General features: G+C 41.3%; 1 protein-coding gene across 4 annotated transcripts in view; it reads left to right on the forward strand.

Moving 5' to 3' along the window:
- BMPER (BMP binding endothelial regulator) overlaps positions 1-19,149 on the forward strand; it is a 251,513-nt gene that overhangs the window by 67,210 nt on the left and 165,154 nt on the right. For all 4 annotated transcript variants that reach the window (NM_133468.5, NM_001365308.1, NM_001410872.1 and 1 more), the window contains one exon: positions 2,578-2,660. In NM_133468.5, the coding sequence (NP_597725.1) occupies positions 2,578-2,660 (83 nt within the window). The remainder of the gene's footprint in view (positions 1-2,577; positions 2,661-19,149) is intronic.

Genomic DNA, 19,149 nt, shown 5'->3' on the forward strand with positions numbered 1-19,149 from the left:
GATCTCCTGACCTCGTGGTCCACCCTCCTTGGCCTCCCAAAGTGCTGGGATTACAGGCGTGAGCCCCTACGCCCGGCCGACTATGGCTTTATTGACACAGAATCAACTCAGAGCTGCCCTCTCCTCATAACCATGGGATCTGTCATGGACCAACAATAATGAAATGGAACACTTCAAGCCCAAGACCTCCCACCCTGTAGAACATTCTCCTCACTTAGGAGATAGTCATATTTTCAGGCTGCCTTTGAAACTGTGGGTACACAAACAGCAGAGCGATCTATTTCAGCAGTTGAAGTTGTATTTGAGCCATTATTTCTTCCACTCTCTTTTTGGTTGAGTTTCTAGGAAGGAAAGGGCTGAACTCCATGACTGCTCATATTACAGTGCTAAGTCCTCACAGCCATCCACTGTTTATACACAAGAAGAAACTAGGCCCACCAAGAGTAAGCGCCTGCCTGAGGTCCGTGAGTGAGTAAGGGCCAAAGGTGAGGTTGGGATCTGGCCCTTTCTCTTTTCTGGCCACCACAGGGCACTACCTCCCATGCCCACACACACCGCGAGAATTGAGAAGCTTAGGTCCAGGTGTTCTGGAAGGCAAATCTTTAAGAATTGGCATGCCAGTGCCACCCACCAGCCCCCTGACACCTTGGCAGGCTCTGTGTCCTCAATTACGGGATCATGAATCAATTTCATTCCCTCGCCTTAATTCCAAAGGCCAACCTTTGGGATGCAAATTGGAGGATCCAGAAGGAACTGTATCCACAAGGCATTATCTTTTGTCTTATGAGGGAGGCTTCAGGCAAATCTAGGGAGGGAGAGTCAAGAGAAGCCTTGGGTATCTTCCTTGGTCACTCAGAAGGACTGGCATTGACCAGGGAATGATATTCTGTGTAATGACAAACACGTAGTCTGTGGTCAGTTTCTTCCCGAAGCAGATTTTAGGGCATTCTTGGTCGACTGCTCCTTCCTTTTCATTGGGCTCTTTGCTCAGGAATGGTGGGTTGTGATGGAAACAGTTTGCATAGAATTTTCATTTAAAATTCATTTAAGTGGTCAGGTGTAGATTGTTGTAGTTAATCTGGCAATCCGTGTGACAAAATCAGTGCTACAAACCTGTATGAAAGAATTAAAGCTGCCTTGTTGGAAGTACACCTTAAAGAGAGACGAGTGGGCATCTGCCATAGTAACAGTGCTGAGATACAGCCACTAGGAGGGCCCCACACTTACCAGGCCTTCTGGCATCACTGAGAATACCAAGGAGCTGGTTGATTGCTAACTCTGCAAGTCAGTAGCATACAGATCTTATGCCTGGGGCATTTTTTAAACCACGGTTTCACTTGGTAATGCAACTTCAGGCTCAGTAGCACTTGTCTGCATGTCTTCCATTTAACAAAGGGCTCTGTATCCAGCTTAAGATGAATAAGGTCAGTGGCCAGATCAGGTGGATGTAATGCCCATTCTTCTTTGTCAAGAACCAGCTGCTCCAAGAGCTTGGTGGGTTCTGCAGATGGCTTTAGCTGGCAGGCCTTGAACACTCATTCTCAGGGGCATGGAGCAGTCTTTCACAAGACCCTGCTTTGGCTAAGTTTTGCCCACTGCTAGCTTTGCTCCCAGCACCGTCTTCCATGGAGAAAGTGACCTCAGCTGTCCTGGTCCAGCACCTTGTGAGGTCAGTCCTGAGGAATGTGGCTTTGCTGTTAACTCATAGTTATCCCATGGCCTGTGTGACATGGGGTTCCTGTCTGGTTTGTGCATCGTGCCATTTATGACCTCTCTTTGGAATCTGGCAGTGTCCTGGGCATCTTTCTGAATAGGGAACACCTCCTGGGTTTTGGTCCTATTATTAGCTCAAACTTGGAGGGGGCCACAGTCCCTTTAACAGAGAGCGTGGGGCTGAAAACCCGTATGATACCTCCTGTCCTGCCTCTGCCCCTTCTTGCCTTTGTACCTGGCCCTCTGAACAGTGCAGCAGATGGGTCAGAACTGATTTTGAATTCTAGCTCTGCCACCTGCCAGCTGGGGTGAGTTACTTTCCCCTCTGAGCCACGTTTTCCTTATTTGTGAAAAGAGTGATGAAAGTCCCTACTTTGTAGGATCATTGGGGATGTGGAGTGAGATTGGGGTACCTAGGACGCGATAGAGGCTGTGCCCTTCTTAGGTACTCATTGAATGGGGCCCCTGGTGTCATCTGCTCCAAGCCCATGGTTGACTTCTCTCCCTTGGCCTTCCATCTGCCTCCTCTGGCCCCCCTGGGTTTGGTCCCTCTGGCAGTGGGCAGCATGATCACCATGCAGCTCCCGGACCCCAAGCACGGCTCTCTATGCTGCACTACTTCCCCTTGGGCTGACCTGGGTTCCACTGTCTTATTTGTTTTCCAGCATCTTTGGGGTTTCAGGTCCCATGCCCATCGTTTGCCTCTGTTTTTTTCTTTTCACTATGCAGCAATCTTGTCCACTGGTTGAAGAGGACACTCAGCTGTGTGGAGGTGGGCAACGGATGAACTGTGGATAGAAGGATTGTGTCAGGTTGAACGATGATGGCTGTTGCCCTAATTCTAAACTCTTGTCTGCTTTCCAGGCTGTGTGTTTGAGGGTGTGCAGTATCAAGAAGGGGAGGAATTTCAGCCAGAAGGAAGCAAATGTACCAAGTGTTCCTGCACTGTAAGTCCTGCTGTGGATGTTCCCAGGGTGTCCTTTGGGCAAAGCACTTCTTGTACTCACCAAGAGCACCCCCGGTCTCTACAGCCTCTCTCTCGTCTCCTCTCTGGGTAAAAGTCCGTCCCTCCTGATGTGGAGCCGAGGGAAAAGCTCATCCACCTGGCTCAGCACTACTGACATTCTGGGCTGGGAAATTCTTCTTCATGGGCCTGTCCTGTGTGTTGCAGGATGTTTAGCAAGGTCCCCTGGCTCCACCAACTGGATGCCAGTAAACCCCTCCAGCTATATCACCACCAATGTCTGCAGACCACCCAATGGGCCATGGAGGCCAAACTTGCTCCTGATTGAGGAACTCTGCTCTGAAGCATGAGGGAGAGGCTGCCTTTCCTCCACGTGCCTCCTTTTTTGGGGGAAAGCATGGATTTTCTGTTCCTCAGGGGCTGAGGACCTTCTTGCTGAGGCAGCTGCTTGGTTCTTTAGTGCAGCCAAATAAGAAGCAATGGGGACAAACACAGCTTGCTTCTGTGCGTCCTGAGGGGTGAGAACCTGGTCTGAGGGCTGATCAGTTACAGGTTGCAGAGTGGATAGGAGGAAATCGCCTGAAATGGTGATAGGAGGAATCAGTGAGACAAAGTCACAGGCTTGTCTTTCTAAGCATTGCTGAATTCTAAGCCATATACTAACGATCTCTCCAGCATGCTTAGATATAAAAAAGAACTTGGCACATGCTACAATTGTAAAGGGATCTCTTTAATTAATATATGTTAAATTTAGGGTGAAATCAGTGGTGGTGGTAGTGATGGGGAATCTAGTCTTAACCAGCTGCTCCAAGTCATTTACAGTAGGGAGTTAGTACAACCATCTATTTTTTAAGCTTTTAATCTGTTATAATAAAGAACATACATTTTCCAAGTCACTTGTGACTCACTATGCATCTCAGAATATTAAAAGGAAAATACATGGGGAACTCTAGCATGCTAATTTCACCAAAGCAGAATCATATTTGGATCATCATAAACCATAGCATTTGTCATTTCTCTACATGTCTTTTCGAAAATCTTTCCTCCTTCCCTCAGCACACATGCACCCAACCTAGAGAATACAGATTAGAGGAAATATGACGAAATGTGATGGCTTTTGTATGGGGGAGAAGGAGGTAAAAAAGGAAGGGAGGGAGGAAGAGAGTATATATGTATATCTCTATATATCTAGATATAAAACATATGTAATATACATAATATACATCAGGTATATAATAATATATAAAAAACACAAAGTAATGTACTCATGAAAATGAGCATGAGCTTGCATATTCCAACTCAACCTCCATGTTGTTCCTCTCCTGCTAATTATGACTAAATAGCTTTATTTTTTATTTTTTTATTTTTTGAGACAGAGTCTTGCTCTGTCTCCCAGGCTGCAGTGCAGTGGCACTATGTCAGCTCCCTGCAGCCTCTGACTCCCAGGTTCAAGTGATTCTCCTGCCTCAGCCTCCCAAGTAGCTGGGATTACAGGTGTGCGCCACCAGGCCTGGCTAATTTTTGTATTTTTAGTAGAAATGGGGTTCCACCATGTCAGCCAGGCTGGTCTCGAACTCCTGACCTCAAGTGATCTACCCACCTCAGCCTCCCAAAGTGCTGGGATTACAGGTGTGAGCCGCTATGCCTGGCCTGAATAGTTTTATTTTTATGTAAATGATTTATGTAAATAATATTTGCCATTAAATATTACCCATTTCTCAATTTTATTTCTTCCATACTGTAAACTATAAAGCTTTCTGATAATTTTTTTTAAATAATCTTATGCTTTTGGGAGTAGACTGAGGAAAAATAAGGCATATTTCAATAGGAAATTATAAATGTGCATCTGAATGAATTGCCTTTCCAGGTAAAGGTGTGCCAAGGTCACGCAGCTGAGCCTCCTTGGAGAGGAAATTTAGAAGGTGGTAAAGAGAATGGAAAGTTCCTGCAGCTGTACCAGTGACAGCCAGCCAGAGTTATCCAGTGCTGGAACTGGAAATGAGCTTAGAGATGATATGTACAGGGGTCACAAACCAAAATGTACTGCAGGCATTCTGATTTCATATGTTTTTAAACACAATGCATGATGAATGAAACACCAAGTTTTTCTGCCTAGTGAGTTCTTGCCAGACCTAGAGTCTATTCCTTTCTCATATCCTTGTATTCTAATTTCATATATTCCTGTATTCTGTCTAGTTTTCTGCAGTGCCATCCTCAGCACTCAAAGGGCAACTAATGACTTTGATTATGTTCCCGATATCAGCCTTTAGATTAATAGAATAAATGGGAGAAACAATGGAGTTCTTGCTTGAAGGTAGGACATTTGTGTGTCAGTTTGGGTATGGGGAGTGTCATAAGAGCAGTTTTTCTTTTATGAACACACACATTTGAGGTGTAAGCTTTTTTGTAGCTTGTTGGTAAAATAATCTGGTTTTTAATATTCTTTCATGTTTGCTATCTTTTGATGGAGTACACTAAAAAAAAAAAGTAATGTCTTGGCAGCAAATGGCCCTCTCTTGAGGATGGTAACTGTGGAGATGTTCACTTTAGAGTGGAATATTCCAAATGCATGGCCTGGAGGCATGGAGTTTAGGAGGCATGGAGTTTGCCAGTGTTGCCCTGGCAGCCTGCTTGGAAGCTTTGGCATGTGAGGTGCGTGCAGGTGTGAGGTGCCATCTTGCGTGAGAGGGCAAAGCTGGAGAAGGGCTTTAGACAGGACCTGTGCAAGGCCAAATGCTCCACTGAGGAGGCTACCAGAGGGGTGTTCATAATGTTAGGCTGCAGCTTCCCCTGTACAAATGAAGACTGCATGTAATAACCTGTTGTGCTTTGGTAAAAATAGAAAGATATATATAGAGAGAAATATAAACATATTATGCATTTGAGCATGTATATAGTATTTATGTGACTATATATTTGTATATCTCTATATCTGTAATTGCATGTATCTATACACACATATATAAAAATAATAAAAATATATAAAAACATGCTTATAAATACAAATGCAAACATACACATTTCTCAGATACTTCTCAACACATTTCTAACATACACATGTTTAAGATTGGATGCCCCAGAAACAGACCCTGAGATAAGTATATATGTGTAAGTAGTTTATTTGGGAGATACAGAAGGCTCTGGCAGAAGAGTGCGGAGGGGAGACAAGGATGAAGAAGCAGCCAGTTGAGGGAATGTCACCAAGTGCTATGGTCTGAACGTCCCCCAAAATTCATGGGTTGAAACTTAATCGCCATTGTGGTGGTATTAAGAGGTGTGACATTTAGGAGGTGATTAAGCCACGAAGTCTCTGCTCTCATGAATGGCCAAGTGTCCTTATATAAGGGCTTGAGGGAGGAAGTTCATCTCTCTTGCCCTTCCATCACTCCCGCCATGTAAGGACACAGTGTTCCTCTCCTTCGGAGGTTGCAGCAACAAGGCGCCATCTTGGAAGCAGAGACAGCAGCCCTTGCCAGACACCAAACCAGCCAGCACCTTGATCTTGGACTTCCCGGCATTCAGAACTGTGAGAAATAAATTCCTGTTCTTTGTAAGTTACCCACTCTCAGATATTTTGTTATAATAGTACGAATAGACTTTGACACCATGTGAGCTACCATTGTGTGTGACCAGAGCTTAGTCTTGCTGGGGAAAGTCTGGAAGCCAGTGTAAAATTCATACCTCAGAATGTTTTCACTGAAGGAGTGAGAGAACTGAAATATCTACACACCAACTCCAACCAGGGTTTGGTTGAGGGCTGCTCCCGGGAGGTCTTGATTGGGTAGCATTTCCAGCCTGCCCCTCAAGTGGCAAAGTGGTCTTTAGCAGCAAGAGGAAGAAACACAAAAACGGATACTTCTCAACTTACGGTGGAGTTATGCTCTGATAAATGCATTGTAAGTTGAAGATATCTTAAGTTAAAAATGCGTTTAACACACCTAACCTACTGAACACCGTAGCTTAGCCTAGCCTGTCTTCAGCCTGCTCAGAACATTTATATTAGCATATGGTTGGAAAAAATCATCTAACACAAAGCCTATTTTATAATAAACTATTGAATAGCTCATTAAACTTCTTGAAAACTATACTTAAAGTGAAAAGCAGAATGGTTGTACGAGTACTAAAAAGTACATATTCTACTGAATGCATATCGTTTAAGTCAAAATATCATCAGGGACTAACTGTACTGGCAGTTAGAAGTGTGGGCATGTGCACACACCCAAGTGGTAAGGGTGAGAGGATGTGGGTCCGCAGCGACAGAGTCAGCTACAACATACATATGTGTGCATAAGTGTCCATATATATGCACGTAAACATCTATACATTCATATATTTGTGAATATGTATGCGTATATGTGCATACGCATATGCATACACGCATATGCATACACACGTTTGGAATACTAAACCTTTAGCTTTTTCCCAAACCTATTACTCTGTTTTGCCTCCAGTCCTTTGCTCATGCTGCTACCCTGTTTGTAATTCCTTTCTTCTGCTTGTTCACCTGGCGAATGCTTGATCTTTCCAAGTCTGTTACCACCACCCCCCTGCAACTCCCTGAGAACCTGATTCCCCCAAGGAGAAGCAACTGTTTTCTCTTTTGTATTCCTGATGGCTCCATGGCTCTCGTTTGCTATAGCTTCCCTGCCATCTTTCCCTCCCTCCTCCTCTGTGCTTAGCACCACTGGCAGGCGCTCAGCAATGTTGGCACCCTTCTTCTTTCCTATTGCTGTCTTTTGATGTAGTACACTGAGAAAGAGTAATGTTTCCTCTTCCATCCTGAGACTTCTGCCCTTCCAAGCTGGCCAGCCTATTCTCGTCTGGGAGAGTAAATCTGGTCAGATATCCCCTTATCACTAGCTTACTCTTTGCCTTGGGGGCACACCCTAGGGAGTTGTGTGGGTGTGTGAAGCATCCCTTGGGGGTATTATCCAGCTCCAATGGATGAACTGCAAACTCTTCGTGGTGTCCCCACTGGCAAGTGGCTTGTATACGCCATGTGGCTTGTATTTGAGGTCCAACCCACTTAGTTACACTCTCTGAATTTGTGAAAATCTGTGTACTGATGTTTTCGTGATGTGGTGACAGAGAGGCAGACCATCAGGAAGACACTCGTCTTATGGAGATGGATTCCTAAGATAACGAAACAAATGCCTCACACATGATTGTACATCCTGGTTTCAGCTGGTCCATCTCTATGGCATTCCAGACAGTTGAGAACGTGATAATGTTTGAGGATTATCTGGAGAGGATTTCACAACCTTTTGCTCTTATCCATTCCAGAAGCAGACCTAACGTTTTTAGGTGTGACTATCATCATGACTCACTCAGAAAATGCAGTGCTTTCTTATCATTTGTTAAACTGCATCATCCCTGTTTACCCATTGTAGAAATAAAAGAGCCAAGAGAATCACTTCTTCAGAGTCCCGATATTCATCAGGGGAGTGACAGCTTGAGTCCTATTAGCTGTTCCATATAGCGGTCTGAGTCATACCAGAGTGCATTCTTTATGAGATGTGTTCAGTGCGAATAAGCACTATATTCATGTTTAAATGGAAAGAGGATTCTTTCCTACCACTGAAGCAAAGAATAGTTTATAAAGTATACTGAGTGTTGGTTAAAGCACACCTTGGCTTCCTACCTGCTTAACTGTATAGCAAACAGCTTTGTGTGCCTTTGTTCAGTCAACTTTTCAGGAAACAGGATGGTGGTAGTTGGCACAGACATTTCTGTAAAACCTGTCTTCAATGTTGTGAGACTAAAGACCAAGGTGCCAATCAGAGATGTTTGTGTTCTTTTTACCAAACTATTTTAAGAACCCCAGGGGCTCAGTGTTCTTGGAAATTGCTTACGGGAGGGAGTATAGCCCACAGAGTGGTAGGATGCTTTTAAAAGAGCAGCAAGTCCTCTGTCTGTAAAACCAGCCAAATTAACCGGCCAAGATCAATTACTTTGGCTGACAAAGGCGTATTAAGTTCAGAGGATTTTTACCAATAAACATGGGTTGTTAATGGGCTGTCTGTGATGAAGGAGCTGTGCTTTACTGGCTCTTAGAAGCCCTGAAGTCCATAAACACCTTTGCTCTCACTTACACTTTAGATATTGCAAAGTGCTGTCTCCCAGGGAAAATGAAACTCCAAGGAAGGGTATTTGAAGAAAGCAAAGAAAATGGAGATCCTCATGGCTTCCCTGTCTCTTAGACTGGATTCTTGAAGATGTTCTGAGCAGCCAGGCAGGGTCCAGCCTCTGTCAACTCTGTGACCTCATCACTGTCCCTCATCCTTGTCCTCTCTGCTCTGGCCACTCTGGCCTTCAGACAGAACCTCTCCATCCTTGCTACACAAAGGGAGGACTCCCACCAGCAACGTGGACCTCACCTGTGAGCTCATTAGAAATGCAGCATCTCTGTCCCTCTTCCAGGCCCACTGAATTGAAATCTGCTGTTCCACATGATCCCAGAGGTTCATGTGCCAAATAAAGTTTGAGAAGCACTGGTCTTATATCTCATGGCTTTTACCTAGGCAGCTTTTTCCTTTTCTTCCCATTTCTCCTCCTTCCCATCGCTCCTATACCTAGACAGTCTCCGCCCACTCATCCAGCACTGCAAAGCCCAGACATTCCTTCTTTAGGGAAGCTTGTTCTGATTCCCAAGACCAGATCACTTCCTGTTGGGAAACTCTTTTATAGCACCCCATACTTTACGCTCCAAACATCTAAAATGATTTGTAATTAGATATTTTTGTTTGTGATGGTTTTATTTAACTCCATCCATTAGGATAAAATGGTGACTGTATCTTCTGTGCTTGGCTCATAATGGGTATACATAATAATCTGCTGAATTCATGAACAAATGGATGCTGGTTTTTATTTTCCTTCTCTTCCCCCACTGCTTCTCTTCTCTCTCTGCTACTTTCCCCACCCACACCAAACATTTAGTCTTTACCAATTCGGCAGAGAATAGAGAGATGCACGTCATTGTGGATGAGCTCAGAAAGAAAAAGAGATTCATTTCAGCTGCTGTAGAGCTTATGATAAATTGTTTGGTATGGAATGTGAATGACTTCCCTGAGAATGTCTTGTTTGAAAAGTGTTCCTAAGCCTCAGAGATCCCCACAAGTTCTGGTGGCAGGAAGCTGTGGTGGCAGGAAGCAGTCACCAACAATCAGGGCCACTCACTGTGGCAGAGCTTTTAAAAGAGGAGAATCCACTATCCTCAGAGTTGACCTTGCTCTGAAAAATACAGGAGACATGACTGACCTCCTCCTGCTCCAGCATCTCCAGCTCAGATTGCAGTTCTCTGCAATAGGAAGGAAAGAGATGCCTCATCATTTCTGTGGTCACGTGGTGCCCAACTGTGCTGTTTCTCCTTTGACATGGGGACTTGGGAACTTCGATGCCTGAACCCTCTCTCATGCCCTCTGCCTTACTTGCAATAATATGTGCAATTTGATGCATTTTAGTCATAAGCTGTCATTATATCTTCCCTGTCCACGGGGAGAAATTTGGCTACATCTGGGCAATAAATTGGAGAATTGAGCAATTATTGAGCAAATTAGATCAATGTGGGCAGTTCATCTAACTAGTGTGGGCCAAAAAGCCCCAGAGGAGTTTTCAAAACTAGTCTGAAATATTGGTGTAATTGCTGCAGTGTTCCATTCTGCACTATGGATGTACCATCTTGATTTTGAACAGTCAATTGAAAAAAAAAAAAAAGTTTTCTTAAAGGGCTGGATAGCACTTGGCCACTAGGAGGGGCCTTCAACTTGCTTAGAAAAGTAGCTGGTGTTCTGCTTGTTTTGTGACTGGACAATGAGCTTGTGAATCTTGGTGTTTTATGTTAGAAAGAATCCGAATAGTTGTGGTTTACCTGTCAGCCAAGGCTTCTAGCGGAAGGTCTATTGTAATGCCATTGTCATTAGATTGAATCCATAAATGCACAACTATTGTTATGGGATATCAAATTCTGGTTTCTTGAAAATACCACCAAAATGACCTGTTTATAAGGCAAAGCTGAATTAATTGCCTACCACAGTCATTGATCATTACCTAGACAAAGCTTTTGTAGCTTTTTGGAAGAAAGAGGGCAAAGGTGGGATGAGGTTTTAGAGGATCTGGCTTAAGAGGGGTCATTCAGTGTGAGGGCTTGATTTGGACTGGGAAAATTTCATAATATGTTAGTTTAGAGTTGCAGAAAACGGTAAGGCAAGAGCTTCAAATCACATCTTGAAATGTTCATGAGCATAGTTGAGTTATCTGTGTTACTAGACTGTAGTTTCAGCAAGTTAAGTACTTTTAGCAAGTTCTTGAAACCAGTAGGGGGCTCAATTTTTTTATATTAAAAATATTGGGAATAACTGTTCTATATTTTAAATTCTACCTCATCCTGGACTTAAATGTTTGCAGGACAAATCCTAAATTTTAACCCTCATGTATGTTTTTATTTTAATGGCTTATAAGATTCCTTATGATTATTTCTTTATATAATTTGTTTGTAGCTGAAATATTCTGTAAAGCTATTTTTCTACACAGGGAGACATTGACTTCATATTGAGCACAACAGGGAAAAAAGTTGGAAAAGAAAGTTTTTCTTTGACATTTGAGCATTTATATGAAAATGCATAGTTTGAAAAGAAATCCACAAATGATTTATTTACAGAGGAATTATTGATAATGGTTATTATTACTGAATGTGTACCCTGTGCCAGGTACATATAGTATATAATGTTAATTTTCACAATTGTTCTGCAACCTAGGAGGTCTTCGCTTCTTTTTTGTTTAAAAACAAACAAACAAACAAAAACCCAAGCTTCTGAGAAGTTTAATGGCTTGCCTAAAGTCAAAAAACTAGCAAGAACTGAAGCCATAAACTGCCTGATTATAACGCTACATGCCATTTCTCTCTGTCTATCCTCTCCCTGCACCAACCAGTGTAATTTTGAGATATTATCTATAATTGTTGGTGGAGATTTGAAACTTGGAAATGGCATTTGAGTCTATGGAGTGAAGAACGACCAGCCATTTTGAGGGAGAAATAATGGTAATGCAAGCATTGGGGAAAAAAACCCAAATCTGGTACAAGAAATATTGACACAATAAAAGAATAAATTACACTTCCTCTCTCCAAAGTTCACACGTCTAAGCAAGTTTAAACTCATACCAGATTTCAGCCTTGGGCATTGAGCCTAAGCATTTGTCTCCATAATGCCAGTGTGAATGAAGAACACATATCTGTTATCCTCAGGTAAGTTGGAAAATTGAGACATAATCTATAATGCATCTCCTTACCAAGAAAATATGCATAAACAAAGAAAATGTGATAGTTTCCGGGCAGAGCCACCCTTATTGCCTCTGCTCCCAAAAATAGATAAAAATAAATGTTTATCCAGCCAGGTGTAGTGGCTCATGCCTGTAATCCTAGCACTTTGGGAGGCCGAGGCGGGTGGATCACGAGGTCAGGAGTTCAAGACCAGCCTGACCAATATGGTGAAACCCTGTCTCTACTAAAAATACAAAAATTAGCTGGGCATGGTGGTGCGTGCCTGTAATCCCAGCTATTCAAGAGGCTGAGGCAGGAGAATCACTTCAATCTGGAGGTGGAAGTTGCAGTGAGCCGAGATCATGCCACTGTACTCCAGCCTGGGCAACAGAGCAAGAGTCCGTCTCAAAAAAAAAAAGTGCTTATCCAGTGGGCTTATCTCTCCATTGCAGTGATCCACTGAAGTTTAAGCATTAATTGTAATAGCTTCCTTGGAAATTTTATGGAGGAGTTGGGTTCACCTAGACATAGCTTTCAGTGTTGTGTGACTGTAAATTTATCCTCCTGGTAGATGGAAGGAGAAATTGTGTCATTGCTTTTGAAGTTACTTTCTCTTATCTGTCTAAGAAGCAGATGTGTTTATAGATTTGAGTGAAATTTGGAATAGGGATTAGAGTTGGTAGAAGAATTAGCTCAATTGCTTAAATCTCACTTCGTTGTATCCTAGAAAAGATCATTCCTTTAATTTTCTTCTTCATCCTTTTATTTTCTCTAAGGTCTGTCAAATCATGTGTTCCTTTTATCCCCTAAAAATCCTAGAACAGATATGGATTTTACTAAATGCTGAAGACTTTTTAAACTATCTGTCCATTCCTCTTTCCATCTTTATATCTCTGTCTTGCCTGTACAGCCAGCCAGTCCTTTGTTAGCTTAACCATGTTTGTCTGTTTTGTGTTACACACTATGTTAGGCCCTGGGCATTCAAAAATGAAGAGGAATTCACTTTTCCTTTTCAGCCAAATACAATCTATTGACTTGTGAAAATAAAACCATAATGCAGCCTTTCTTGTGCCACATATAAAGCATTGTATGATAATTTCAAAAAGCCTAGATATATTGAGAAATTAAAATAATTGTACAACTCGAGGATAACTACTGTTAATATGATTTGATATATTTCCTTCTAACTTTTTTCCCTCCATATGTACCTATAATTCTGTAGGTAGTTTTATATCCTTGTTATTTTCATTTAACATTATATTGTGAATATGTCTCCATTTCATGAAAAAGTTGAGAATACTTTTAAAAGCTACATAATATTTCCATAAAACCATAATTTCATCATTTTCAGTTGTTAAAAATTAACATTTTCAGTTTTTACTATTTTGAATAATGTGACAGATATCTTTGAAAATTAATCTTTTTTGTTTCTCTGATTATTTCTTTGGCTAAGTTCTATAATTAGTGGGTCAACGAATCAAATATCTTAAGGGGTGTGTGTGTGTTGCTGAAGTACTTCAAATCAATGTCTTAATTCCCACTCCAATAATCAGTATATAGGTGTATACTACATATTTCCTGCACCATAACTATTTTCCATTTGGAAATCTTGTTTTCATGGCATTTGGCTTCTGAAACTGAGCATTTTCCATATGTTTATCAGCCATTTGTGTTTTTTTTTTTCTGTAAATTGTCTGTGTTTTTATTTCTAATGTTTCTATTGGGTAGTTAAAGTATTATTGAAGTTTATATGTGTATGAAGGATCTTAATCCTCGGCTAGATATGTTAAGATGCGTTTAAAAACACTGAAACTGCTTTGTGTGCCATTTGACCTTAGTATGCATATGGCATGGTAGATAATTGCATAGTTTGCTAAAATCCCATGTCTTCTTCCAATCTTTACCCCTCAAATCTTGATCCAAATATATTAAAAAATAGAAAAGTGAGTCAGCATTGTCAGTTCCCACATTTATTTTGTCCAAGACTTTTCATTATTTAAACTCCTTCTTTTCCATCTCTAACTCCTTCGTTTTGAGATTGCGACCTTCTGTACCTGCTCCCATATTGATATGACTCATTCTTTTGAGTTTCTATAGTGCTTCCTCTCATACTCATGGCTCTGCAGCCTCCTAACCTCCCTAGTCTTCTCTCTTTCCTTCTTGGCTCAGAAAGAGAACTATCCAGAATCCCCCTACTCTCCAAGTCTGGTTCTCATTTGGGCTCCTCTGCCCATCTCTTTCTACTTTTCCTAGGATGTTGTTCTGGGTTTCAAATTTTAAAGTCCTAGTAGACAGGGATAATGTACCTCACAGCTTGAGTACAGTGTCTTACACATAGGAAACAGTGAATATTTGGCTAAATAACTAGTCTTATAGCTGTTGATTTGAGTATCCATGTTCTTGAAAATGAGTTATACAATCTAGAACTTTTCTACCTTCCTACTTTGGTCTTGATGCCCATCTTGAAGGCAGTAGGAAAATATTCATGGTTTTAATGAGCATGGTTACATGAAAGATTCATGATAAATCTGTAGAGGAAGAGGCTCCAACCACAACCATTGCAAAAAGCTGGTAAGGAGACTTAAGAGTAGCTGTGTGAAGAGGATGGAACGGGGGGTGAGCTCAGGGGACAGCAAGTCTAAGAATGTATCATTCTGTGTTGTGGGAGGACGAGAATGGAAATATTCATTAATGAAAATAAAAGAAATATCCTTTTTAGTCAACAAAATAGGATAAAATATTAGTCTCAGAGTACTTTAGGACATTTCCAGAACTTTCTGATCTTTTTGTCCATTATTAGCCAGATAACTTCATTTAAAAAACCAGTTTGGTACCTCTGGGCCTGCGGCTTTCCCTGCTCCTTTGTTTGTTTGTGCTTCGTGGCTCCCCTCCCCTCCTGTGCCCTTCTGTTCCATCTCCTTCCCCGCCTGCTTCCACTTCCCTGTCCCTGGTCCTACTTGAGCTTCCCCTCTTCCATTCCCATCAGGCGCTCTGCACGATAGCCTGGTATTAGTAAAGTACCATGAGTCATTTTCATTGCTATCTTGGTCTCTCCTCAAATAACTATCCCAGAATTTTGCACACACTAGATATTCAGGAAATATCTTTTGAATGAATTGATTACACATTCTGGCACCTTTTAAATGTCATTCAAATGTTCGATTTGGAGGGTGGCAGTGCTCCTGTGGGCCTGTGAATGGCTTCAATTACCACCATTCCCTCAGAGTGGAATTTTAAATGGTACCACTTGTTTGGTGTGTGAGCCGCGATGTGTTTGCATCTCAGGGAGCCACAATCCTCTCTGAAGATTGGAGGATGCTGAACCACAAACACACAAGGAGAAGAGTACTTCCTCTGCACCATCCAACATTCCCTTCTCAAGCCCATCTCTGAGCCTACACTGAGTCATACGCAGTGACTCATCCTTCTGAAATCCACCTAAGATCTCGAGCTGTGGTTTAGAAGAGCCAACTTGAAATACTGAGCAGACTTTGTTGTTTGGAGAGGACACGGCCTCCTTGATCTGGGTGCACCTTCCATATAAGGGGCCCCATGGCAGGTATAAGTGACCAGGAGTCAGCTCCAGTGTCAAACATGTCTATCACAGAATCCTACTACTTTTTTTTTTTCCTCTTGTGCCTCTCTTCTGTTCTCTGTGATACACAGAGTCAGACAATGTGATCATGATTAACCACATTATGTTCCAGATGTTAAATTACAAAACTATGTGAGGACTTCTTAAACCTCTGACTATTGCTAGAATTAAACAGCAGAAAAAAACTTGATATTCATAATGAATAAAAAGGAAAACTATAGTTTATCCATGCCATTCTCTTTAGGCAAAAGGAGGAGGTACCAGTTTCATTTCTGACTTGATTAGATATAAATGTGTAATGTAGTCAAGCGTTAACAAAAGCAGTTACTCATTATGAAGGAGTATCTTTTGGTCATATTTTAAGAACTAACATTTAATAATAGAAAAGTTACTTTTTAATTTCAAAACGAATATGAAAAATTACTCTCACTACATTATTCATACTGATATATATCTTAATTTTTTTCATGCTGTCATTTTATTAAACAAGTGTTTAGTGTCCTTTCACATATTGGATTATAGGGCTGTGTTGACTTTAGGGATCTTTTCCCCACCAGTTGGGGTGATGAATGTGATTGGCAAATGCTAGGAGTGACTCTTTTTTGACATTGATGGGAAATGCATTTCTTTTCAGTGTCAAGTTCAACAACAGGAGAGGGAGGGGACTCTTGAGAATTTTGGATTTTGTTATTAGGTTTTCAGCATCCATAATATTCATAAACAATAGACACAGCTGTCTTTAATAACTAAGCCCACTAACTGAATGGACAGAACATATGCCCAGAAAAACATCAGATTGTAAGAGAATTTTTTTTTCCAACACAGAAATTTTCAGAGATTGAAGCAAGATTTCATTTATAACCAAACTGTGTGTTTATCTCAAACTTCTATCATTAAGTAAAATAATTTGACCAAGGTCTAGGAAAAATGCAGTGAAGTGTTTGGTATTTTTATTTTTTTTTAATTATTTTTTTAATTATACTTTAAGTTTTAGGGTACACGTGCACATTGTGCAGGTTAGTCACATATGTATACATGTGCCATGCTGGTGCGCTGTACCCACTAACTCGTCATCTAGCATTACGTATATCTCCCGATGCTATCCCTCCCCCCTCCCCCCACCCCACAACAGTCCCCAGAGTGTGATATTCCCCTTTCTGTGTCCATGTGATCTCATTGTTCAGTTCCCACCTATGAGTGAGAATATGCGGTGTTTGGTTTTTTGTTCTCGCGATAGTTTACTGAGAATGATGATTTCCAATTTCATCCATGTCCCTACAAAGGACATGAACTCATCATTTTTTATGGCTGCATAGTATTCCATGGTGTATATGTGCCACATTTTCTTAAACCAGTCTATCATTGTTGGACATTTGGGTTGGTTCCAAGTCTTTGCTATTGTGAATAATGCCGCAATAAACATACGTGTGCATGTGTCTTTATAGCAGCATGATTTATAGTCCTTTGGGTATATACCCAGTAATGGGATGGCTGGGTCAAATGGTATTTCTAGTTCTAGATCCCTGAGGAATCGCCACACTGACTTCCACAATAGTTGAACTAGTTTACAGTCCCACCAACAGTGTAAAAGTGTTCCTGTTTCTCCACATCCTCTCCAGCACCTGTTGTTTCCTGACTTTTTAATGATTGCCATTCTAACTGGTGTGAGATGGTATCTCATTGTGGTTTTGATTTGCATTTCTCTGATGGCCAGTGATGATGAGCTTTTTTTCATGTGTTTTTTGGCTGCATAAATGTCTTCTTTTGAGAAGTGTCTGTTCATGTCCTTCGCCCACTTTTTGATAGGGTTGTTTGTTTTTTCTTGTAAATTTGTTTGAGTTCATTGTAGATTCTGGATATTAGCCCTTTGTCAGATGAGTAGGTTGCGAAATTTTTCTCCCATTTTGTAGGTTGCCTGTTCACTCTGATGGTAGTTTCTTTCACTGTGCAGAAGCTCTTTAGTTTAATTAGATCCCATTTGTCAATTTTGCCTTTTGTTGCCATTGCTTTTGGTGTTTTGGACATGAAGTCCTTGCCCATGCCTGTGTCCTGAATGGTAATGCCTAGGTTTTCTTCTAGGGTTTTTATGGTTTTAGGTCTAACGTTTAAGTCTTTAATCCATCTTGAATTGATTTTTGTATAAGGTGTAAGGAAGGGATCCAGTTTCAGCTTTCTACATGTGGCTATCCAGTTTTCCCAGCACCATTTATTAAATAGGGAATCCTTTCCCCATTGCTTGTTTTTCTCAGGTTTGTCAAAGATCAGATAGTTGTAGATATGCGGCGTTATTTCTGAGGGTTCTGTTCTGTTCCATTGATCTGTATCTCTGTTTTGGTACCAGTACCATGCTGTTTTGGTTACTGTAGCCTTGTAGTATAGTTTGAAGTCAGGTAGTGTGATGCCTCCAGCTTTGTTCTTTTGGCTTAGGATTGACTTGGCGATGCAGGCTCTTTTTTGGTGCCATATGAACTTTAAAGTAGTTTTTTCCAATTCTGTGAAGAAAGTCATTGGTAGCTTGATGGGGATGGCATTGAATCTGTAAATTACCTTGGGCAGTATGGCCATTTTCATGATATTGATTCTTCCTTCCCATGAGCATGGAATGTTCTTCCATTTGTTGTATCCTCTTTTATTTCCTTGAGCAGTGGTTTGTAGTTCTCCTTGAAGAGGTCCTTCACATCCCTTGTAAGTTGGATTCCTAGGTATTTTATTCTCTTTGAAGCAATTGTGAATGGGAGTTCACTCATGATTTGGCTCTCTGTTTGTCTGTTGTTGGTGTGTAAGAATGCTTGTGATTTTTGTACATTGATTTTGTATCCTGAGACTTTGCTGAAGTTGCTTATCAGCTTAAGGAGATTTTGGGCTGAGACAATGGGGTTTTCTAGATATACAATCATGTCATCTGCAAACAGGGACAATTTGACTTCCTCTTTTTCTAATTGAATACCCTTTATTTCCTTCTCCTGACTAATTGCCCTGGCCAGAACTTCCAAAACTATGTTGAATAGGAGTGGTGAGAGAGGGCATCCCTGTCTTGTGCCAGTTTTCAAAGGGAGTGCTTCCAGTTTTTGCCCATTCAGTATGATATTGGCTGTGGGTTTGTCATAGATAGCTCTTATTATTTTGAAATATGTCCCATCAATACCTAATTTATTGAGAGTTTTTAGCATGAAGGGTTGTTGAATTTTGTCAAAGGCTTTTTCTGCATCTATTGAGATAATCATGTGGTTTTTGTCTTTGGCTCTGTTTATATGCTGGATTACATTTATTGATTTGCATATATTGAACCAGCCTTGCATCCCAGGGATGAAGCCCACTTGATCATGGTGGATAAGCTTTTTGATGTGCTGCTGGATTCGGTTTGCCAGTATTTTATTGAGGATTTTTGCATCAATGCTCATCAAGGATATTGGTCTAAAATTCTCTTTTTTGGTTGTGTCTCTGCCTGGCTTTGGTATCAGAATGATGCTGGCCTCATAAAATGAGTTAGGGAGGATTCCCTCTTTTTCTATTGATTGGAATAGTTTCAGAAGGAATGGTACCAGTTCCTCCTTGTACCTCTGGTAGAATTCGGCTGTGAATCCATCTGGTCGTGGACTCTTTTTGGTTGGTAAGCTATTG

Source organism: Homo sapiens, chromosome 7 (assembly GCF_000001405.40).
Source record: "Homo sapiens chromosome 7, GRCh38.p14 Primary Assembly".
NCBI classification, from domain to species: Eukaryota; Metazoa; Chordata; class Mammalia; order Primates; family Hominidae; genus Homo; species Homo sapiens.